Source organism: Homo sapiens, chromosome 3 (genome assembly GCF_000001405.40).
Source record: "Homo sapiens chromosome 3, GRCh38.p14 Primary Assembly".
In the NCBI taxonomy this organism is placed as follows: domain Eukaryota; kingdom Metazoa; phylum Chordata; class Mammalia; order Primates; family Hominidae; genus Homo; species Homo sapiens.
In genome coordinates this window covers 117509844-117535388 of record NC_000003.12, presented here as the reverse complement: position 1 = coordinate 117535388, position 25545 = coordinate 117509844, and the positions used below count along the sequence as shown (strand labels likewise).

General features: G+C 36.9%; 1 long non-coding RNA gene across 2 annotated transcripts in view; it reads right to left on the bottom strand.

Moving 5' to 3' along the window:
• The window catches only part of LOC105374056 (uncharacterized), a 56435-nt gene that overhangs the window by 4367 nt on the left and 26523 nt on the right, over nt 1-25545 (bottom strand). The window contains exons 1-3 of one of the 2 annotated variants that reach the window (XR_924361.3): nt 22046-25545; nt 20889-20928; nt 1728-1795 (exon numbers count right to left, since the gene is read on the bottom strand). The exon at nt 22046-25545 is cut by the window's right edge and continues 26523 nt beyond it. This is a non-coding gene — a long non-coding RNA (uncharacterized LOC105374056). Of the gene's footprint in view, nt 1-1727; nt 1796-20182; nt 20219-20888; nt 20929-22045 lie in introns of those variants that run through there. The other variant, XR_007096021.1, reaches the window with a different exon arrangement.

Here is a 25545-nt window from a genome sequence, read left to right as displayed (position 1 = left end):
GAAGGAAAGTGACTATGTGTTTTCATATGAGGAAAGGAAAATAGGAACTGTTAAGCCCCTGTTCAGTTCTAGGCCCCGGGCTATATGCTTTATCTATGTTATCAGTATAATAAAGGCAAAATATTATATCACAGTAAATGGGCACCAGGCACCCTTTTAAGTATTTTACGTGTATTAACCATTCATGGTAAGCATGTTAATATTATTCTTATTTTATGAATGAGGAAATTGGGACATAGAGTTTCAGTAACTTTTTCAAGGTCACTGAGATAAAAGGTAGCAGCACTGAGATTTGAACCTATGGTAACATGAAATACTGCTGTTCATCTTATTTAAAAGATGGGTCTTCATTGTTCGCTGCAGAATGATGTAAAGCGTACTGAATTGAGAAATAACTCCAAAGTGCTGAGATAAGATTGCCAGTCAAAATAAAAGTGGCCCAAAATGAGATGAAAAATCCCCCTTAACAAGGATTTTCTAAAGCAAGTCTGACACATCTCTATTGATAGTAAATCAATCCATTGTGTTTTTGACTATGCAGCTTGCATTTTGATGGAGCATGTTTATGTGAATTTGTGTGTGTGTGTGTGTGTGTGTGTGTGTGTGCACCCAGTGTATAAACTGAGTTGTTCTTCAGGGCTGTACAGGTGTCTTCAGTGTTCCCTGCTGCTTCCAATATAGGCAAACAGTTAAAATGTTAAAATAATGTGTTCTAGGGAGGAAAACTGTGGAGTGGAGTAGGTAAGACAGAGGTTTCATTTTAACTTCATCATTTATTAGCTGCAAAAATTTGATTAAATTACTAAAACTTTCTAAGCCTCAATTTTCTTGCCTATTAAATGGAATATACCTACCTTTTAAAATATGTCATAAAAGAATCAATGAGGTAGCATGTCCATAGTTCCTGGCATATCACAGAGGCTGAAAGCATACTATGTTAGTTCTCTTTTATCTTCTACGTCCTATAACTAGTCAATCTTTAATTCATGTAAGGTAGCAGATAGATTCCTCCAAAAGGCAATCTAATTTAATAATTTGAAATGTGCTAACTCAGCATGTTTCTCTAAGCCCTATCCTACCTTGCTTACTGTGTCTCTTGTCCATTTCATTGAGCATTAGCTATTTCCTTGGAAGCTACTTATGCATGACAAGAAAGGAAGCTTAATATATTTTTCTTTGGTTTACTTTTTCAGATATATAGAAAATCCACATCTCTAAAGACAGCAGTGGAAATTCTAAGAAGGTTAAACCATTAGCTAATGTAAGGCTTGGGTTTTTTTCTATAGATTTATTTATACCATCTCTACCCTCCCCAACCACAATAAATAAAAAATGGTTGAGGTTATGTCTAGCAGGACAAGTAGATATATTTTGTTGGGCAGCTTGATAATGGGCCAGGAAGACCTCACATGGAGGCGCCACTCTTTTATGGTAATTTAGTTATTTTTTGACAGTGATAAGGAAAATGATGGAGCCACTGCTTTCCTATTAGTGAGCTATTCTAGGCTACAGTGAGTTTATAATTAATCAGTTGACATCAAATGAATGATAACCTTGCTTTTTAACATTTGACTTATAGGGCATATTTCCATCTCACCAAATTACCTATTTTGAATGTTATAATTTTCATTCTGGACCTACATATTAATATTTTTTGTTAACTAGTAATTTATATGTACAATCAACACTCATTTTTGCAGAAGGCAATTATTCAGTCTAATAATTACCTGGGCTCTTTGGTTCCAATTTTTCCCCTTAACTTGTCCTTTTTTGGCCATTCATCAACAGCTTTATCCTAGAGAACAGAAAGGAGGTAGGAAGCTTAGGTGAGTCTCATGTAAGATAGTTGGACTTCAGGGTTTGAAAAGGTCAAACAGCAAAAAAGTCAAATGCAGGGCTAAAGTGAGATTGTGTTTTCAGTGGAGGTTTTTTTTAATTTAATGTTGAAAATAATATGCAGTACAGTAGAGTCCCCTTTTCCACAGTTTTGCTTTCTATGGTTTCAGTTACCTGCAATACAGTACAATAAGATATTTTGGAGAGAAAGGCTACATTCACATAACTTTTATTGCAGCATGTTGTTATAATTGTTCTACTTTATTATTAGTTATCGTTGTTAATTTCTTACTGTGCCTGATTTATAAATTAAACTTTATCATAGATAGGTATGCGTAGGAGAAAACGTAGTGGATGTAAGGGTTGCTGCTATCAATGGTTTTAAGCATCCACTGGGGGGTCTTACAAAGTATCCCCCATGGATGAGGTCAGACTATTGTATTCTTGATGTTAGTATTTAAAGCCAAATTCATAGTTGCAACACCCATAAGCTGACAGACTGTGTATATTTGTGTGTCTGTGAGAATATATTTTGTCAGCACTTAGTCTCCTTCATAGAATCCTTTTATCATTCTAATGTCACTTATTATGGATATCTTATTTGTAAACATAACTCAAATGCACACCTTTGGCAGGGAAATTGTATCTTATTCATCTCTGCATCTCCCTTGCCTACAACTTGCCCTACAGTCATTAGAAACACTCTTGCTGCTGAATAAGTAAATAAATGAGAGATGAATTAATGTTAAGGAACAAAATTAGAACACAATTTAAATAATTCTTCATATCACATATGAGATGCCATATTTCTGGTCAGTATTCCAAGCTGAAAAATGGATTCTGTGTTATTCAGATGCCAACCTCAATCCTGGAAAATAAACTACTATAGTCGCAATCCTCCACAGCAGTTCTGTGTGTAATTTAACAATGCATGCTATCCGTTAGCTACTACCGAAGCTTTGGCTCCAGATGCAGTCTTGGCATCATCAGGCAGCAAACAAAGAATCGATCAAAAGGCTGGAGACAAGTTTGATATATGCAGTTCACTCCTCATCTTGGAACATCACTGCCAGTCATGTCTTTACAGCTGTGGGCGAGTTTGTTCATTTTATAACACCTACAACATTACTACATAAGCTTTCATAATCTGACTGTCAGAAATATCTCAGGGTGAGTATTGTACCAAGAAAAGACTGGCGTAGCATGGCCAGGGACGCAGCAACTGATGCATGAGAAACAATGGTCAGGCCTTTCTTGTGTAGCTATTTTTTTCTTTTCTCTTCGTCTGTGTAATCGGGTATAAGGAAGTATCGGTACCAGTGTTAGACCCAATTATTAGTGCAGACCTTTTACATTGTAATCTAATTCTGTCTTTTCTCTTCCCCATTAAGGTATTTAAAAGCAAACAAAAGAGTTTTATGATGAAGAAGACAAAAATAACTGGGGAAATTTTAGGGTGCTATCATTTTAACCATTTTCATAGTTGTATTTCACCTTAAGGATGGGCAGGAACACCTTTCTGCACGCGCACACACACACACACACACACACACACACACACACTTATAATTATTTTTGTACATTTATGAAAACTTATTCTTCCATGAGCACATTAAGGCAACATATGAAAATGCAGCTGCTCCTCCGTAACTTCCCTACTGAGAAGCCAGATGATGATCATTCTGATTATTTTGTCCCATGGGAGTGGCTTTAGAGTGGAATGTGGGTTCCTGGCTCTTCACCATGATGGAGGTTCTGGGCCTTTTCCACATGCCTATGTACTGCTGGGTGCAGGGCTGAGGGAGAGAATGGGGCAAACACCAATGCATGCTGGTCTTCCTTTCTTCAGTCTCCTTTCCCACCTGCTACTCTGCCTTTCTTGAATTACTGCTTAGTATTGGAATAGCTTTCGTGCTAGAACGGCACCCGTGCAATAACAAATACTGCCTCATTTCAGTATGATGAATGAAGAGTTTTAATGAAACTGGCCCAAACTGCTCTGGCAAGCTGCCTTATTTTTGTGTTCTAAATGGGAGTGATCCATCAGCCACATGCAGTGTCTCTGTCTCCACATCCCCCCTCCATGCACCTTGCTCATCTTCCTCACCAGGCTCTCAGACTCTCTGCTCCTCTCACCTGCCTGTTCTTCCAGTCTTCTGAGCTTGACCAGTGGGGTGGTGATCCTCTGCACCCTCCCACTTCATATCACTAATCTCTGCTGATGCACTGTGTGAGTGGCTGCATAGCTCGGTGCATGTGTCTCCCGGCTTCATTCTTCCCCAGCCCAGGATACTGGCACGCTAATGTGGTAAAATGTCTGGCAGGTATTAATTACACTTGCAGACGGCTCCTTCATTAGAGTTGCCGATCTCCCCTGAGCAAGGTTGTAAATCAAACTATGATTCATGACTTTTAAAAAATTGGAAAAGATAAACAAACACTAAAGGGAAAAAAAGTCTTCCAAAAATAATAAATATAAATGAAGAGGAGGGATGACACCTTAATCAAACTGGCTGGTAGCTGCAAGCAGCTCAGCATTTTGCTAGGGTGAAGGTTTGTTAGATGGCTCTTTCTCCTTGTTATTTGTTTCATCGTTTAAAAAAAAAGTAAATAGCACAGAATTCTTTTTATTTCTTTTGGAGAGCTGTTTAAGACAGACCGTGTGATGAAAGTGCAATCTGCATAGTTGTTTGAAGGATGATAGTGAGGTGGGGGTTTCATTAACCAGGAATTTAAATGAAAGGAGAAGAAAGATGAAGAGGGGAAAAACAACTCTGAAGGCTGAAAGTTCCTCTCTGAGTAGAGTTTTCCTTCTTTTCTTGAGTAGTTTTTCTACAAAATACCAATTTGTGAGGATCATATGCCTGAAATCCTAATACTCTGAAGCTGTTTTAGACTACCTTTTAGCTAATTCTAAACCATCAATGCTATTGTAAGAATAGCTATCTCTCAGGGTTGCTGTAAGGATTATATGACATAGTGCAAATTAAAACTCATTAATAAAAAATTAAAAATCATTATTCACATATATGTATATAACTTGGAGACAGATATCCATCAAAATAATTAGTATTATTCATTTTATTTTAGCAAGTAAGCCTGTATTGCTTACCCACTGTATCCCCAGCAGCCTGAAATATACTGTAAGTTGTACCTTTGAAATAGAATGAGTTACCATTGCTTTTATTGGACTTTGCTATTTAAAGTGGGAGAGAATTTCACAGAGGCTAAAGCATAGTCAACAAGTCTCACAGGAATTCAGACATAGATGTGGTTTTGTATGACTGGGAAAGGCTTCATGTAAAAGGCTGGACTCAAGCTGGATCTGAAAGATGAAGTGGATTTCCATAAATGTCCAACAGAGAATGCCTTTGGGAGATGCAGACTGTACAATGAGCAGATCAAATGGGGAAAAGGTTTTGCTGTATTTGGGGAACAGCATGGAGGACAGTCCCTTGGGCAAGAGAATCATGACCTTGTATAGTAGAGGATGAGACTCGCTGTAATGAACTGCTGTATCAAAGACAGGTAGAAGAGTTTTGAAGAAAACTCCAACCAACACAGGTATTTCAGGTGACACATATCTCTGTTTCTATTTTGTTTGCCTGCTAGAATAACCACACTCAGGTTATCGGGAACACAGAACATGGAGAGAGACTCTGAGCTCTTTAGCAGTTTTGCCATTACATTTAGGTTCTGCGCAGTGGCAGTGAAAGTTATTGTTAGGACTTTGTATTGGGGAAGAATCACTTGGGACTTGGGAGACTGGCCATATATTGCCCAGCATCCAACCTGCTATCTACCTTCCATCTTTGTCTTAAGTGCTTTTGAAAGTAGTTGGCCAGGAGACCATGGGATGGCCTGGGGACCATGGGAAGTTACTGTGGCTCAGTAGAGACAATTCAGATTTGCCTCTATTCAGCTGTAGTAACAGAGATCATTCAAATTGGTCTCTACTCAGCTATAGTAACCAAAACAGCATGATACTGTTGTAAAAACGGACACATAGACCAACAGAACAGAATAGAGAACCCAAAAACAAATTCATACATCTAGAGTGAACTCATTTTTGACAAGTGTGGCAAGAACATACATTGGGGAAAGGACATTCTCTTCAATAAAATGGTGCTGAGAAAACTGGATATCCCTATGCAGAAAAGTAAAAACCAGAACCCTATCTCTCACCATATACAAAAACCAAGACAATGTAGATTAAGGAATTAAAATCTAAGACCTCAGAGTATGAAACTACAAAAAGAAAATATTAGGAAAACTCTCCAGGATATTGGGCCAGGCAAAAATTTCTCGAGTAATACTCCATAAGCACAGGCAACCAAAATAAAAATAGACAAATGGGATCACGTGAAGTTAAAAGGCTTCTGCATAGCAAAGGAAACAATCAACAGAGTGAAGAGACAATCCACAGAATGGGAGAAAATATTTACAAACTATGCATCTGACAAGGGATTAATAACTAGAATAAGGGGCTCAAGCAACTCCCTAGGAAAAAATCTAAAAATCCAATTAAAAAATAGACAAAAGATCTGAATAGACTTTCTCAAAAGAAGACATACAAATGCCAAACAGGTATATGAAAAGGTGCTCGATATCATTCATCATCAGAGAAATGCAAATCAATACCACAATGAGACATGATCTTACCTCTTTTGAATAAAACAAGTTAAAACTTGTTTTATTCAAAAGATGAGCAATAACAAATGCTGGCAATGATGTGGAGAAAAGGGAACCTTTGTACACTGTTGGTGGGAATGTAAATTAGTACAACCACTATGGAGAACAGTTTGGAGTTTCCTCAGAAAACTTACAATAGAACTACCATAGGGTCCAGCAATCCCATGGCTAGGTATATATCCAAAAGAAAGAAAATCAGTGAATCAAAGAGCTGTCTGTAATCCCATGTTTATTACAGCACTATGCAGAACAACCAATAATTTGAAGCAATCTAAGTGCCCATCAACAGATGAATGGATTTTTAAAAATGTGGTACATATACACAGTGGAGTACTATTCAGCCATAAAAAAGAATGAGATCCTGTCATTTGCAGCAACATGGATGGAACTGGAGGTCATTATGTTAAGTGAAATGAGCAAGGCACAGAAAGACAAACTTTGTATTTTCTCATTTATCTGTGGGAGCTAAACGTTAAAACAATTAAACTCCTGGAGATGGAGAGTAGAAGGATGGTTACTAGAGGCTGGGAAGGGTAGTGAGGTGATGGGGAAGTAGAGATGGTTAATGTATACAAGAATATAGTTAAATAGGATGACTAGGATCTAGTATTTGATAGCACAACGGGGTAACTACAGTCAATAATAATTTATTGTACATTGAACAATAACTAAATGTATAATTGGATTGTTTGTAACACAAAGAAAGGATAAATGCTTAACATGATAGAGACTCCATTTATGCTGATGTGATTATTATACATTGTATGCCTGTATCAACATATCTCATGTACCCCACATATATATATATACACCTACTATGTACCCACAAAATTTAAAAATATAAAAATTTAAAAATATGGAGATCCATTCCTACTTGGTTCCAGATGAATTATAGTTCTCTGTGAGCCAAGAAACATCTATATAATTTATAGTCCATTTTGGCTTGCTTTTATAAAGAAAACGTTATTTTCATTCTTAAGAAAATACAGGCTGCATAACATGATGCAATAGTTGATGGAGGCAGTAAACTGTTTCAGTCCTTACTTTAAAACAACAGCAGCTACAAAAACTGGTCTCTACTCAGAAAGGTTATGTGTGGGAAGGGACCACCACTTGAGTTCAGAGGAAGGTTCATTTGCTAGGATTGTTGTAACCAAGTACCACAAACTGAGTGGCTTACATAACAGTAATGTATCGTCTGAAAACTCTGGAGGCTACAAGTTCAAAATCAAGGTCTTGGTAGGATTGGTCTCTTCTTAGAAATGTGGTTTGTAGATGTATTACTGCAATCTCTGCCTTCATGTTCACATACTGTTCTCTGTGTGTTTGTCTGTGTCCAAATTTCCCTTTTTTATAAGGACACCAGTCACATTGGTCACCCTACCCCAGCATACCCTCATCTTAACTAATTACGTCTGCAAAACCCTGTTTCCAAATAAAGGCACATTCTGAGTTGCTGAAAGTTAGAGCTGCAACATATGAATTATGAGGAGGGGAGACACAATTCAGCACACAACAGCAATGATAAACAATAGTGCCCCATCCTTTCCAGTTACCTTGGGGATGATACTTTTTTCTCTATAAGATACAGAAATTACAGGCTTATTGATTAATCTGATATGTTTTTAGTACTAATTTAAATTTATATTTGGGGGGATATGGGGGATTAAGAATATCTCCCAGCAAATTCCCTTTCTGTTAATCTCCCCCAGCTTGCAGTGACAGGGACGTTACTCTGGAAAGAGATGTACCTTAGGCTTTACCTATAACTGGGCACTGTCATGGCCGACTGTTTTCTCACCCAGTCAGACCCTCCAACAAATGCCATTTTGTTTGTAGTAGCAGGAAGAAATGGAAGGAAAGAAGGAAGAACTGAGGGAAAGGAGAAAAGGGTCCCTTTTTTCCCACAAGTAGGAACATAATGCCAGAGTGCCCTTCCCGACTCATTTCTGACCCACAGAGACTGCTGCAGCATCTCTGACCACAACTGTGTAACACCTAAAACAAGGGAGCCCATTCTGAATACTGTGGTGATAATTAGAAAGAAGGCATGGAATTTTCCAAGACATTAACATTGGCAAAATGGTTCTGAGTGTGCTTTGTGTAAAAGTAATATTTGCAAAACACATCTGTCTGTTGAATATTAGAGTCAAAACACGTGGCAAACATTTTCATGGTATTCCACCAGGGGGTGCTCCCCCCAATAGAAAGAAGCAAGAAAACTTGAAAATATGACTATTTGAACAGCCCCAAAGAAAACATTTGTTTCTGCCAAAATCATGAAAACAAACATTTTTTTTCTTTGGGAAACAAACATATTGGCTCATAAAATGAGGTTTGAAAAAAAAACAGCTTCTATAACATATATATGTACATATTTTAAACTTGCCTGAAGGAAGATAAAACAGTGCATTGACTGATGATAGGTTTGATTATTTAGAAACTAAGAAATAGATTCCCAGAGAGAGTTCTCAGATCATTTCCAGCTTAAGAACTTTTAGAACGTTAAATGCAAATGAAGAGAGAGAAGCCAATTCTCCTGACCCCTGTAAAGCTCTTAAAAACATGCACTCCTCATAATATAGACAGCCGAAACCCCTTAGAAACTATATAGGAGTTACTATTAAGAAGCAAGCATTCAAGGATCTGATATGGCCCAGACTCTATGAAGTGCCAGTTTGATAAGCCATGTATCTGAGGTCCTCCTCTTGAGAGTTTTTATGCAAATCACTAGAAGCCCTACTTTTAATTTACCAAGAACTAAGTTGTATGGTGTGAAGCTCAAGGAATTTACTCGAGACTCAAATATTTTAGAAATTTTTTCTTTCAAATATACTTAGATTTTACATTATGAACCTTGCTTTTATACAAATCACTTTTTTGTTATTTGAGGAACAAGATAACATTTTCTTGGCAGGATTACTATAGTCCCCCCAACAAGCTCTACCAAAGAAGATAATAGAACTTATTGAGCTTAAATGAATTATAGGAAAGTTCCTGAAAAGTCCAAGGTAAATGTGAAGAGAACCCGATTCTCTTAACCTCACCCAACCCAGCACTTGATTCTCCCTTGTTTCCTGGTTTTCATACACACACTGGGAAAGGAAAAGGAAGAAGAAACAAGGATGTCGTTATGGCTGAAGGAGCTTTGAGCTTCCTTTGCTCTTTATCGCAAAATGCATTGAATATTTCCCTCATTTCTCGTAAGCCTGTTACATTTAATCCTACTGCTTATTGATATAAGAAAACTAAAACCATCTCTACGTTTGCAAAAGCGTATTTTACAATTTCTAGAACATTCACAGCAGCCACAATGCCACAGTGAATTGCCTCAAAAAAACAATGCTGATTTCTGTTTTGGGCACATTATTTCAGAAAACAACTCACCAGCAAGATAGCAATTCTACACAGAATCGTTTATATCATTACGTGGAAGATTATAACCCTAAAAAATATTCCCCAATTTGTTTCTTTACTGAATTCTGCTTTCTAAAATCAAGACAAACAAATAGGTATCTAAGAGAATTAGAGTGGTAAGAGTGTGAGGCTTAATTCCATATTGCACGTGCATGATGCTCTGTTTTTTATAGCTCCTGCTTAAACAAGCTTGAAAATAAAGCCATGGATCGATGGCCTGAGATGTATCATTACGGAGAATGCAACCCTGGGATTAAGTTAACCAGCCATTCTTCCATGCCGTGAACAAAGCTTGTCCTGGGAATCTGAGACATATGTTGTGGCCTGGTATGGCCCTTCTATTGCTTGCACCCTGCTCTGTGGGCTATATCACCATGAGTCAGTGGGCTTGGCACAGAAAGGCACATTCCAGCTACAGACCGAGGAAGAAGAAAAACTTCACACAGAGAGAAGAAATGGCAGAAACTTTATTGCAGTAGGAAGAAAAATAGGAAGTAAGAGTTTTAAGTAATATTACATAGTCAACTAATGTTAATAACATCAGCAGCTCTCTTTGAATGACAACTATGTACCAGGCTCCTTTTATACATTATTTTTGACCCTCATGTAACCTTTATAAGTATTCACTCCATTTTGACAGATGATAACTGATGGCCTCAGGTTCTGTAACTTGTCCTAGAATCATGCAGCTAGTATGTGGCTGAATTTTATTTGAACCCAGGCTTCTCTGCCTTCAAAGCCCGTGTCAAGTATGTGTTATGTGGCACCATCATACAATTTTATGTTTTCTTGCAAGAGCAGCATTTCAATGAGTGGCTCAGTCACTTATTCTTTGTGTAACTCTAGGCAAGTTCACCTAACATCTCTTGGTGCTTGTTTTCTTATTTGTAAAATGGGGACAATAATATTACCTAGGGCATAGAGTTATGGTAAGAGTTAATGATTAAATATATATGAAGCACTTTTGAGAGTGCTTAGAACACACTAAGCACTAAATGAAACTTAGCTATTATAGTAATACTATTGTTGAAATTGAACATTAGTGAAAAGAGCTTCCCAGAGAATACTTCCAAAAGGGGTAATAACGTCTGAATTATAAGCTTCCGGAGAGCAGGTATAATCCTCTCGTGTATATGCTTATATGGGGAGGACAGTATAAAGAACGTGGGAGCACATCATTTACTCTAAACAGGCAGTTAACTGGATCAAGATAAAAAGAAATTTCAGGGATGCAGCTCTGATCTTCCAGGAATTTGGCCAAGTGTGTGCTGAGGTTTATTAAATGTTTTACTAACACGTGAGTTCTTGCCTTTTTTTCTGGCGGGACCTAATATATAGGCATCTTTTATTCTGAACCTAGGCAAGGGGAAGGAGAAAACCTCATGGCAAAATGGTGAGGAATTGTGAGACAGAAGTGTCATGGTCAGTCAATAGAAAAGAAAGAAAAAAGAAAAAAATGTTAGTACTATCATTTATTTATAATGTAAGTTTTGAGAAACTTCTCACAATTCATGTTGAGAGAAAAACACCTACCCTCTGACTTATCCATCTTTACTGCCACCCTTGCTCCCTGAACTCTGGTTCTTTGTTTACTCAAAAGGCAGCTGGCTTGACTAGCTTTCCTGATGTTTTCTTTTGAAAATAATAAAAGAAAAGAAAAATAAAGCAAAAGCCATTCTCCCAAGGCGATATCGGGAAGTGTCACTTACCTATCGCCTTTCTTCCTTTCTCTCTGATGTTTAAGTGGTGATGCTCAGGACTGGTAATGCTCCAGGAAGTGACCCTGCCCTCAGGCCCTCTCCCCTGCCTCAGGCAGCCTGACTCAGAAACTGTCCCCTAATCACCTCATCCTCAGTCACAGCTGAGCTCCCTGGTCACCTCTTTCCAGGACCCACAATTCAACCTTATCCTGCAGCAGCCATGACATTCTAGAAACCTCACACTCCTGCCTATGTGCGTGCCCTGCAATATTTTTTGCTATCCTGTAAGGAGACCACACGCAGGCTTATCTCTGAGATGCTCTAAATCTAACTCAATCTAGTCAGGATTCCAGTCGTCCCTCCTGATAGGTCTATATCACTGCAAGTGTGGATGAAAAACACAGACTGTCAGAACTGAGAGGATGTCTCTGTATCATCTTGTCTCACAGTCTTAAATTTCAGATGAGGAAACAGATGCCCACATCACTGTTAGTGGATGACTCCAAACAAGAATCCAGGCTTTGAAACATGATGCACTGTTTTTTCCTCTGTGTTACATGACACGACTCCAGGTTAATACTCTCTGATTTGTTTTGATACCTAGGACATGTTGCTGTCTGATGTATCTCATTTTTAATCCACAAATAATCACTGATTTTTCTCTCTCCTCAGTTTACCAGTGGGTAGACATGGGTGGAAATTTATGTGGTATAATTTCATAAATTCTAGGAAATTCCTGGTGAATATATTTCCAGGGAATGGCAAATTCTTGGGATTCCCTCCCCATCAACAAAAATGAGTCTTTCTAATATGTTCTTTACAAGCTGGATATTTGTAACTGTATGAACTATCATAGAAGTTTACATTTTAGGAATATAATCAAATAATAGAATAAGATGTTAATTAAATATTTTTTATTAAATAACTTTAGAAGTATAAATAATATCACCAGTAAATTTTTAGATTTGTTGGGAAACTGTGACAGTAAATTGTGTTCAGGTTCTCACAATGAAGTAATAGAGAAACCAAATATTCCTGGGTAGATACCCCTAACCTCTAAATTTATAGGATAATGATATGACAGTATATTTGCTATATAATGTACTTATTTAAAATAGAACAATTAAAGGAAAACAACTATAGCTTCAAGTGATGGTTCCCACATTTTAGACTGCATGAGAATAACTAGAATGATGCTGTTTAAACTCAGATTCTGTTCCCTGGTCTAGACCTACTAAATTATCATTATTGGTGGTGGGGCTCTGAAATCTGCATTTTAAACAACTATTGCATTTGATTCTGCTACAGCAGGACTGCACTTTGATGAAATTTGGTTTAAGTATTTATTTGCTCAATGGCAAAGGTTTTCAAAGAAAACTGTCTATTCAACCATGCCTACATCAATTAATAACCATTACAGATTTTTGTTTTAAAAATGCCAAAAATAGTATTCAAGTTCTTGCTTGAGAATTCTAAAATTTTTATTGGTCACAGAGTGCAGATTAAAGATTGAAGGGTTGAGGCTCAGACTATGACCAGATCAACTGGGACCAGATCATCCCAACCATGTTTGCGATGGTAGGGATGATAACGTTCTAAGTCTGGGACATGCAGGCAGTGGGAATTGAGAGGTCTACTTCCTTAGGCTATGATCTGCTCCCCTTGAGGTCTAGCTCTGTAACTGACTAGCACACGTTTACCTGCATAATTCCACTCACATTGTGCTGCTGGATAGAGAATTGTGATCATCCTGTTAGTGGGGAACTCCAGCAGGGCTAGAGCCTAAATATATCTATCTTGTGCTATCCAATATAAACATAATACAATTTCACATATGTAATTTTAAATTTTCTAGAAGTCACATTTTTAAAGAAGCAGCAAAATGGGTGAAATGAATTTCATAAGATGTTTTAATTATGTATATAAACTATTATCCTTTCAACATGCAATAAACATGAATACTAATGAGATATTTTACATGTTTTTAATAACAAGTCATCAAGAGCCAGTGTGTATTTTATACTGACAGCACAACTTAGTTTGGGCTAGTCACAAATGCTACATAGCCACATGTGACTAGTAGCTACTATATTAACCAGCAAAGTTCTAAATGATTAAAATTAGTTTTAATAATTGTTTTAGAAACACTGAACAAACACTTGTGCCAAATGCAACTTTGGGCATTAAAAATACATTGTTTATTAATCACTAATGTAGAAAATTTCCTGCCAGATTACTGACGTTATTATGGTGGCTCCCAATTGTGCTTCCATTTTATTTACATGAAGTTGTCCAAAACATATGCTAAAGACAGTGGAAGGAAGAAAAGAAAGAAGGAAGGAAGGCCAGCCACTTAATTTAGAATAGTTTTTGTTTACTTTTATTTTTATTTGTTTATTTTTTTGTGACAGAGACTCGCTCTTGTTGCCAGGCTGGAGTGCAGTGGCACAATCTGGGCTCACTGCAGCCTCTGCCTCCCAGGTTCATGCGATTCTCCTGCCTCAGCCTCCCAAGTAGCTAGGACTACAGACGCGTGCCACCATGACCAGCTAACTTTTGTATTTTTAGTAGAGACGGGGTTTCACCATGTTGGCCAGGATAGTCTCAATCTCTTGACCTCGTGATCCGCCCACCTCGGCCTCTCAAAATACTGGGATTACAGGCGTGAACCACTGCACCCGGCCTAGAATGGTTTTTAAATATCAAAGTGGCTTTCTTACTTCAGGTGGTAACTACATAAATCAGTAAGCCTTTGTCGGGCTCAATAGTTCTCATTGAAAATCTTTGGTTCCTTTACTTACATAAAAACCATCAGAATCCCATGGGAATTGGCTTAAAAATTTTACAGTGGAGTCTGAACAGAGAAGCACGCATACTGTTTTCCATGAAAGGGTGTTGAGATAGTAAGGAAAGGGCGATTTCTGGAGATCAGATTGCTAGAGAGCTAATCAGACTTTCCATGGGTTGAGACAGCAGGCAATGTATTGTGATGCTTCTCGGCTCATGGGAATAGCAGGCTGTGACAAGAACAGTTTGCCTCAGACATTATAGTTTCCTTTTGGATTTTAATAACAACAACAATAATAATGTTTATTTCTGCAGAAAAGAGCAAAAACTTAAGTATTCTGGAATATTGACCCCGGCACACATGACCACTACTAATTGAAGAGCCTCCACTGGACTCATCTTAAGAAAATGCCGAGGAGTCATTTCAAATCTGCTCTTGGCTGCTGTTGTCCTAACAAAGGCAGCATGCCAGGGGGAATAATATGGAGGAAGAAATACCTTTTATTTTCTCTTTAAGGAGGGAAGGGGTGGGAAATACAATAACTAAATGCAGTACTTAGCCACTCCAGGACTGCTTTAGCTGCCTTTCATTGTTGTTTTACATTCTAGAGAGGAGTGATTTCAAAGAAATCAGATTCTACACCATTAGATCTCTTACAAATTAAAGCCATCACATTAATTGGACTAATTAGGAGTCCACTACAGCCTACTTAATATGGGTTGTTCCACTTGGTCCTATAAAAGGTTATCAGCAGAACCCCCAACAGGGAAGATACCACAAAACTATTTTCTTCATTTGAAAAGGTCTTATCAGTAAAGAGATCTCACCTCTTCCCTGAAGATTTTCTACATTATTCCCATTTCATTCAAATTGCCTTTTAAATTTTATGACTCCTCAGTGACAATTTCATTTACGAATGAATGGCTTTGTGAAGGTTACTGACTAGCCTTGGTACTGCCCTAAACCACTCAAAACAACCATAAAATCAACACTATAAAAAAATCCAGTGTATTGTTCTCCCATATATGGGGAAAGAAATATGTCTTTCTGATCATGTATAGCTTTAGCACATATTATGTGCCAGGCACAGTATGAGGTACCAGAAAGCAAAAATAAACCAAACAGGTACAAGATCTGTTCTCAGGTGCCTTACTGTGTATCTGGAGAGACAGGCATTGAACATAATGCCACAAAAAACATACATTACAACTGTCAAGAATTCTACAAATCAAGTCATATCAAAGATCATAAATGAAGATTCCAATAGATAAATGGACAAAGCAAACCAACTTACCACACGGAAATGCCCTGATTCACCGATAAACCAAATGAAAATTAAGAAATGAGATAAAATATATATATTTTTGCCTATTAAATTGAAAATAATTAAATATTCTTGAGACCTAGCTATCATACCTTTCTGGATGCATTGTAATTTTGTACAACTCCTTTGCAAGCAATTTGGCAATATGTAAAAAAAAAAAAACATAAACCTTGTCACAGTCTCGAATAACTTCTGAGATTCTGTTCCAAAGAAGTAACTCCAAACATGGGGAAGAAAATACAGACATGAAACCATCCAACAATTTTATAATTGTTGGAAATGAGAAATGCTCTAAATGTCAAAAATTGATAAAAGGTTAAGTAAATGTGGAAAACAGTAATTATAAGAGCATAAGGCACTAGGATCAGGCAATGCTAGTTCAAATCCCAGCTCTGCTTTCCAAAACAATTTCCTTGCCTATAAAGTGGTGATAATATACTTTCAAAGAAATGTGTCAAGATTTATGAAGTGCTTATGAAAAACATGATATATTTAGAAAGTCAATTTATAGAAGAATGCTCTCCCTCATTGCCCCCTTAACTAGAATCTGTTCTTTCAGGACAGCTCCAAATACTTGATTTCATTTATATTGCAGAACATCAACAGCAGAAAAGTTAGGGACCAAAACGCTCTAGAGCCTGGTCTAGGTGCTTTATTCCTGTTTTTGCTTTATTTTGTTTCATGTAAATAAAGTATTCCTTAAACTCGTATCAGCTTAACCTATGCAGTGTTTAACATACAAAGGAAAAACCTGACTCATCATGAACACCTCCCTTACCCTTTTCCACAAAAAATGATGCATGAACCTGACATTTGGGTGAGAATTAGCAGAAATCAGAAATATTTGGAAAGCGTTTTCTTCTCTTTGCTCCCATTTGAATGATGGTTGTATACGAACAAAATTCTGGAACAGAACTGAACACTCTGCAAGGTTGACTAGTCCATGCCTTCCTTGCTGCACTATTTCTTCCAATGTTTTGCTTTCATAACTGTACACTAGGATGACTTGCAGAAATTTTATATCAATGCCTCCAACCCTCCCACCGTACCCAGCCCTTAGAGATTTTGATTTCATTGGTCTGCAATAGTGTCTAGGCATCATTATTTTAAGTTTCACAAGTGGTTATGACTGCAACCACATGATAAAGTTACCTTTGCTCCACAACTCCTGAGAAAGGAACAATAAAAGTTTTTTTCATTAGTACACGTAGGAAATACCGAGTGGCTTCTTTTTCCCTTTTGTTTTTAACTGGGAGAGTAAAAGACAGACAGTGATTAGCTTGTTTCTAATATTTCTGCTCATCCAGACAATCTGGACTCAGAAGCTTCATGACAGACTTTTTTCCCCCTTTTGAAGTATCATGCATCATTTTTCTGTTCCCTTCTCAATGAGCTAAATTTTACAATCTGTGACACACTTTTCTCCATTCTTGTCAGATACCTTAGCCTGCAACATTTTCTTTTGTTCTTCTGTCTTCATAGGCATTTCAACATTAGCTCATCATTTTCGGGAAGGAATTGAAAATGTTTTGAATTCTAATTCTCTCCCAGATATGGGATATTGCCATTAAAAGATGCAAACCATTACCCAGAAACTATGACAGTTTGTCCACAAGTTCTTTGCTTATTTGTAGATAAAAGATACTTGATGTCTCTCATATTTTAAGGCATACATTTTGAAAAACTTAGCATACTAATTAAAAAAGCCAGTTATCTCTTACTGGTTCTAGAGTATGCTATGCTTCTTTGTACCGAGTAGATTTTAAAGTCTTGAGGCCTCAACATATTAAAGAGTCATCTTTATTCTCCTAGAGCAGGAAAAATTTCCCCTCATTGAGAAAAGTCATTCAATCAACAATTATTTAGTGAGTGTTACAATGCGATAGGTCCTGTTCCAGATAGTGGGGTACATCGGAAGGCAAGGCAGATGAAGAACTTACTTGGAATGAAACTTATACTTTAGCAAATATTTCTTTTGATTAAATTCAGAGAAGTGGGATTAAGGAAAAATAATTGACTATAAGCAAGTATAAAAATTTCCAGTAGATGATTAGCTATATTATAAAGAAAATGATAAAATATTTTTTAAAGAATAGAAGTCCTAAATATCAGGTGTTCACTGTACAATTCTTGCAACTTTTATGAATGTTTAAAAATGTTTATAATAAAATGTTTAAAAGATGTTCAGAAGAAGAAAAAATATGTCTATCAAAATAAATATTAATATTTTAACTAAATAAATTTAAAGGCAAATTTCAGCCTAGGAAAAACATGTTCAACTAATATAGCTAGGGATTTACTCTCCAAATAAACAGTGTGATTACAAATCACTGAGAAAACACTGGCTTTTTATTATAAAAAGGGGACAAGGAGAAAACACAGAAACAAAGTAAATGACAAAAGAGCAAACTTAATATTAATGAAAAACATACAAATTAAAGCATGAAATTTTCTTTAGGGGTTATTAAACAATAACCTAAAAATTTATTAATGCTTTGATATTGGATATAATGAAATTCCTTCTTGGGTAGGAGGGAAAATGATAGAGTTTAAATTAGCAACATTTCTGAGAAGTAATTGCGAGATATATATCATGAGCTTTAAGAAACATTCCTCCTTTTGACCTAGTGATATCACTTCTAGAAATGACTTCTAAGAAGGTAATTAAAGATGCAATCAAGGTTTTCTGTTGGGAGAGCATTTTAAAACTCCTTATAATAGTAAAACAGAAGAAAACAAAATGTCCAATAATAGAAGAGCACTTAAACAAATCACGCAACTGTTACAGTAAGAAATGTTAAGTATTTATTAGCCATCATTTTTCAAAGACTATTTGAATGAATGTAGAAATGCACATGATATAACATTAGGGAAAGATCACTATGTAATATCTTTCCATTTAAAAAAAGACAAAAATACATATTTCTAGGAAAAAAATGAAACATGTATTTGAAAGCAGCAATAGTGATTTTCATTGGGTGGTTTTCATTTCCCTTTTATTATTTTATGCTCTATAAACATTATGGCTATTTTTTAAAAAGGTCATTTTCAGCAAAACACACACAAACAATTGGCTCAGAAAAGATTATAAAATATTCAGCCTATCTACTTATTAAATGATCACTGCAAATATAATACTTTAATAAAGGTACATGAGCATTTAAGAATGTTGCTGTTCCATGTTTCTACAATTGAGGAGGGTTAGAAAGACGTGAAGAGTCCTCTATTGCAGCCACAAACCAGTATGGAAGTCAGAGATCTGTAATGCAGAGTCAATCCACATAGGCTACCAAGTGGTCTTGTGAAGAGAAGTCTTCTGTTTGCTGGCACAGAGGAACCAAGAGGTACACGAAGGCTCTTACGGCCAGCCCCATGAACCTTTCACACTTTCCCTCAGTTTGCTGGAATTTTAGAGTTTTGAATAAATAAAGCATTGTGGCTCACATTGTAGTGTGCTACATCTATTTTCTTGCAAGTTAGGTATCATGGTCCCCATTTTTTTTTAAAGAGGAAACTGAATTTCCTAGGGATTTGATAACTTTCTCACACCCACCAGTCCATAAATGTCAAAGGTAGGATAAATTTTGGCAGCTGCAAATTTTGTTATTTTTATGCTATTGCAGTTTATCTACAAGGCTACTAACTCAATCAGGGGATAATAATTTAGAAAACAAATGCATTATTCTTTGGCTTACATTTCTCAAACTATGAATGCTTTAAATTATGAAACTGATTATAATTAAGGCAAAATGTTGAGAAAATAATTATATTACATTATTCTGCAAAATGTGCTTTTATCCATTTGGAAAAGCACTACTAATAGTTTAGAGAAAGTTTCATCACCTTGCCTCATGGTTAGAATGATCTAGTGAGCCAGAGTGGGGTGAAAAAGGCTCATTCCCATGTTACTGCTCTAGGGATTTTCCTTCTGAAGATCTGACGGAGATCTGGAATGTGTAGTTTTTACAGCTGCCTCAAATGATTCTTATGCTTGGACTGCTTAGGGAAACTATGTTTCTAGGTCAATTGATTTCAAACTTCAGGGCATATATGTGTCTCCCTTCTAGCTTAAAAATATAGTTTCTTGTTCAGCAAGTCTAGGGTGTGGCCCAGAAATGTGCATACTGCACACACACTTCAGATAATTCCTATAAGGCTGGTCTACAGATTGCTGTTTAAGAAACCTGCTTTATGGTCAGGTGTGGTGGCTCAGGCCTGTAATCCTGGCACTTTAGGAGGCCAAGGCATTTGAGGTCAGGAGTTCGAGACCAGCCTGCCCAACATGGTGAAACCCTATCTCTACTAAAAATACAAAAAAATTAGCTGAACTTGGTGGTGTGTGCCTGTAATCCCATCTACTCCAGAGGCTGGGGCATGAGAATTGCTTGAACCTGGGAGATGGAGGTTGCAGTGAACCGAGATGGCAGCATTGTACTCCAGCCTGGGCAACACAGTGAGACTCTGTCAAAAAAAAAAAAAAAAAGCAACCTCAAACAAAAAAACCTAAAATATGCTTTATTATAATTTTTATAAAGCATTTGCTATATATGATATTGAGGGGAATATAAAAGTAGAAGATGCATCTTTCATGGCTGAAAGGACGTAGCGGAGAGGAAACAAAACAACAACAACAATACCATTTATAAAAATGAAAACAAAAATTGGTTGAAATGGAATTCACAAAGCAGAGGCATGAATAGCTAAAGAATAACCCCCCAAAAGGCATGGCCCTTAACTTGGTTAATGAAGAATGTCTGTGGTTCATGGGGAAATGAGAGACTTCCAAATTGAGGGAAGCAGGAAGAGAAACCAAAGTAGAAAAAAGGCAAGGCAATAGAATGAGATGGAAAATAAAAACTATATTTGGGGAGGAAGCTTGGGCCCTCATGACCACATGGCCTCTGAGCGTCTCGGCTTGACACCTTGAAGGGTTGGCCAGTGGAGAGCCACTGACAGGACATAATGAATGGTGCCCGCCTGTGATAGATAGCAGTATATACATTGACCTTTCAAAGGTTTAACGATCTTTTATAATAAGTTAGGGTTGATGTACATTAGATAGACTGATCGTTGAGTATTTATTCACCCCGACTTTCAGCAGCCTTGGTTGATTGATTATAGCTTTGCCTACCTTCCCAAATTGCTCCCTTCAACATGATGTGCCTAAGCCTCTGTGAAGAAAAAAGAGGAAGCTTTAGTTTGCAAATTTTTAGAATATGGATTAAAACTCAGATTTCAGAGCCAGACCTACATATTTTTCAGAAATCCAAATTTAAGATAATGTCCCCAGACCCATCTTATGTAACTTAAAGTTGAACACTAAGGCTATGTGTTAAAATCAAATTTCTCCCCCATCTATACATGTATTTATTTACACAGGCAAGCAAACAGAAATCCATGGGCAACATTCTAAATCAGTCCTTCTGAGCTACTATGATGAGAAACATTTTCATGAACCTTCTTAGGTCATAATGATACTTTTCTACTTCAGATTATTGCAGGATATTTTGATCTGAGAGCAACTCTTCAAGTCTATATGTGTTTGGGTTTTTTTTTTTTTGTAATTTTTTTCCTATTTTTTTCTCTCTTATTTCCTAAACACTTTTTAAGAGCATAACCATGAACGAATATTTACCAGACTGGACCAGTGGTCATTTTACTCTCCAGTGATGGCCAGTGTTCCTATTTATGAAGGATATTACGGTTTTATCCTGACCTGTGCTGAGAGGCTAAAGAAAAATGATTATCTTTATAATGTTCACTGTGTATAATGGCCTTGCTCATATAACCAGTTACAGATAATTAGCCATGACTGTATTAATTAATCTTTCAAAAAGGTAAGAACTCTAGTATACACATTTATAGAATTAGTAAGATGCATGTTGCTTTTAGCTGAATGGGTCAAATAAGTATGTGTGAAGAAAAGAAACATTTGAGAGCAAAAAGTACTGCACACACTAAGGAATTATTTCTCATTTGGTAATCCAAACTCTGACTCTGTGTGTGTGCATATGTGTGTATGTGTATGTGTGTATGTGTGTGTGTGTGACTTTAGACAACTGAAGACTTAGCGGTAAGAATTATCTGGAGATTCATCATTATCTGCTATCATATTGTGATGTCTTGTTGAATAATAAATGTAAATGCAGTAGAATTTGTTAGAAATGTATTTAACATAAATATAATACAACAGCTAAATAACAAGAGCCTCATAAATATTACTTGGGCACTAAGAAAAGTGAATCCTGGAGTGAAAGGAGAGGAAGATTTGCTGGACCAAGTTTTTACCTTTATAACTTCAACCTGTAGACAGTTGGCATCGGGGCTCACATCTCTAATTCAAATGTTCTGGGAAATTACAAGTATAAATCTCTGCCACAACAAGCAGGAGGGAGGACAAGAGGTCTGCATAACATTCCATTTGGGAAGATAGATAGCTTCAGATTGGAACTGGAATGTTGAAGCAGTCTAAATCAACACACATGTTTCCTTTTGAGTCATAATCAGATAAATGGTAGGTGATGACCACAGGGAGGAAAAAGAAAAGTCCAGAAAATAATGTTTATGAATTTACAATTTTCAGAAAAATAATATGAAATATCTATTGAAATTTGTCCCTTACTAATTTAGCATAAGACATTACTGTCCAGCAGTCAAACCAACGTATGTGAAAATGTTAGGACCTGAAATGCCCATAAAAGCTTTTGAGACTTGTGAAGATGCCATTTGTTGTTCAAACGTGCACCAAAAAAAAAAACAAAAAAAAAAAAAAAAAAAAAACACAAAAGCCTCATCCCAGTGTAAGACCTATGACATGTTCATAATAAACTCTACAGGCCCTGTGAGGCTCTTAGGCAATACAAACACAACTGTTTGAAATGCTTGTTTCTAAACCACTATTTTTGTGTTCATTTACCCAGTACAGATATTATGGCTCATTAAGAACCAAATGGTTTGTGTAGGTGGCCATGTTTTCATGGTCAAAACAGATCATGCAGAGATATAAGTATCCATTTCACTGTTGTTCTCATCCTAGGAATGATGATAGATAGGAATGTATGTAGTTTAACTCAGTATCTATTGAAGAACTGTTTTATATATATCTATATCTATATCTATATCTATATGAGAGATGAAAAGACAGACTCTAGTCTCATTTTAAATGAAGAAACAAGTAGAATTTCACTTTGAATTGTATCATTAGGGAGAAATCTTCCCCAGAAAAATAGTAACCTTAATCCTTAAAGCCAGACCATGCCATTATTGAGATAGCTCCAGTGCCCTTTCTCAAGTCAGCCTGATAGATATGGCCAGGTTAGCAATTCCCCTAAATCACGCACATTTACATAGTTACAGGCATCAATAGTCAGAAAGGCTTCTAACTGGAGGCAGTGGTAGAAATTGAGAATACTTTTATGTGATTCCTGGATTAATGAGAGTTGCAACCTCTGTTGCAATCTAACTGACACCCTTTAACAACTTGGAAGAATGAACCCTGAAAGAAAGCAAAAATGATAAAAGGCAGGGACAATTTTGTGGACAGTTAGACCCTTTTGGGTAAATCTTACAATTGATCGAATGCAAGAGTTAACAGGAAAGATGTGTATTTTTCATATGGCACAAAAATATACTTGATGATTTAATAGATCATCAAAGTAACACTGGGACACACATGAACAATGCACTTGCTTGCCATGGTGATACTATTTATATTGATAGGGATGTCTGAAATGAGATTTTCTGTAGGTGCCTTTGTATATATTGTTTTTTGTTGTTGTTGTTGTTGTTTGTTTAACAAGCATTAACTGGCTGCCTCCACAAAAATACATAGCAACTTTACTCTTCACATCAAGATGAAATTAGCTCCTAGGGGCCAGGAGTGGTATAGCTCACACCTGTAATCCCAACATGTTGGGAGGCTGAGGCCAAGGTGGGAGGATTGCTTGAGGCTAGGAGTTTGAGACCAGCGTGAGCAAGATAGGAAGACCACATCTCTAAAAAAATAAAAATAAATAAATAAATAAAATTCCTGGTGCAGTGGCATGAGCCTATAGTCCTAGGTACTCAGGAGGCTGAGGCAGGAGTATCACCTGGGCCCAGAAGTTCCAGGTTACAGTGAAGTATGATCTTGCCACCAAACTCTAGCCTTGGTGACAGAGCAAGACCTGTCTTACAAAAAAAAAAAAAAGAAAAAAAAAGAGTCAAATGAATACTTTTTGGGGTGAGCATGGGATGGTTTAGTTATTTCCTGAAACTTCAGCTGCTTCACTGGCAGATTCTCTCTTTTTTGCTTTGGTTTAGGATTTTCTCAAAAACAATGATTGAAAAAGAAAGAAAATGAAATGTAAAGAATACTGTTTTGAGACTTAGTAAGACTTCATTTTGCATAGATCAGGGGCTAGGAAAAGGATGTTGGAAGTTTTAAACATACGTATATTCTATTCCCCCTCTCCCTTTTCTTACTAGCAATTTGTATCCCACTTCTCTTCCTAAGTGGATCTTCTGTTAGAAACCTTTAATGACATTCACCAATTTTTTACTCTTCTAGGTTAGAATATTTCAATTATTCATTCTGTAGTTTTAGAACTTTAATACATTTTTCTGCCCTTAATTTAATGTTGACAATATAGTTTATTTTTTAAAAATTATTTTAAAGCAACTATTATTTTACACTTAAGGGTGCTCATTAGGTATTACTTAATCTAGTTCATTTTAATATGTCTGTCTGAGACAGAAAGAGATTAGCACACTAGGCCCTGGACTTTTCCAAGCTTGCTTCCATAAGCCAGCAGAAGAGGTAAAGTAAGGCAATTCTATGCTAAGAGCTCATAGTAATATAGAGGAAGATGTTTTTCCAGCAGCAAATCCAAGCTTTAGGTGTTTGACTCCATCAAAATCTGTTATTTGTTCCTTTAGGAATTTATCTCACTAAAGCATTTATGATCAATTAGTCACTGGCTCTCATATCATTCTTGTAACATGTGGCCTATTTATGGTGCCTAGATTCCTAGAATGTGTCATGTTCTTTCTAGTAGAGCCTTCACACATGACTTTTTTTTGGTCTGGAATGCTATTCCCAGCGTCTCTTCAGGGCATTGAAACTGCTTTTGCAAAGATAATAGCAGTGAGAGGAATTGAACACAGCAGACTCCATGTGGCTTCCATCCTCAGAGGCTGGCTGGGCTTTGCTTCTTCCTAGGCATAAGCTAAGCTAACTATGGGAGGAATTTAGTTGATAGTGTAACATGGAAGCAAGGATAATAATAGTTTCTCCCTAAAACTAAAACCCTCCTTGCTCAGGGACTGAAAACGAATGAAAGGCCATGAGATTAAGATAATTGGAGAATTGGAGGGGCCTGAATTCTGCTAAGATGTAGGCATAATACCTTACTGCTTTGGAGTCATGTGGCCAAAGATCACAAGATTTGTGACTTCCCTAAATGCTCCCACAGATAATATCATTATTATGGAACCTAAGATTAGCCTTTTGAGATTTTTTTTTTTAGGCTTTCTGGCAACCAACTGATGCCAACAGGACTTGTGACTCATGACTCAACTGGTCCTGTGCCCCCTCATCCAGAGGCAGACTCAATGCATGAGGGATGTTTTCCACACACCTATGATTTCATCCCCAACCAATCAGCAACACCCATTCTCTAGCCCACTGCTCTTGAGAAACCCTAAGCTCTCAGCCTTTGGGGAGACTGATTTGAGTGATAACTCCAGTTCTCTCACATGGCAAGCCTCGCATTAATTAAACTCTTTCTTTACTGCAGTACCACAGTCTC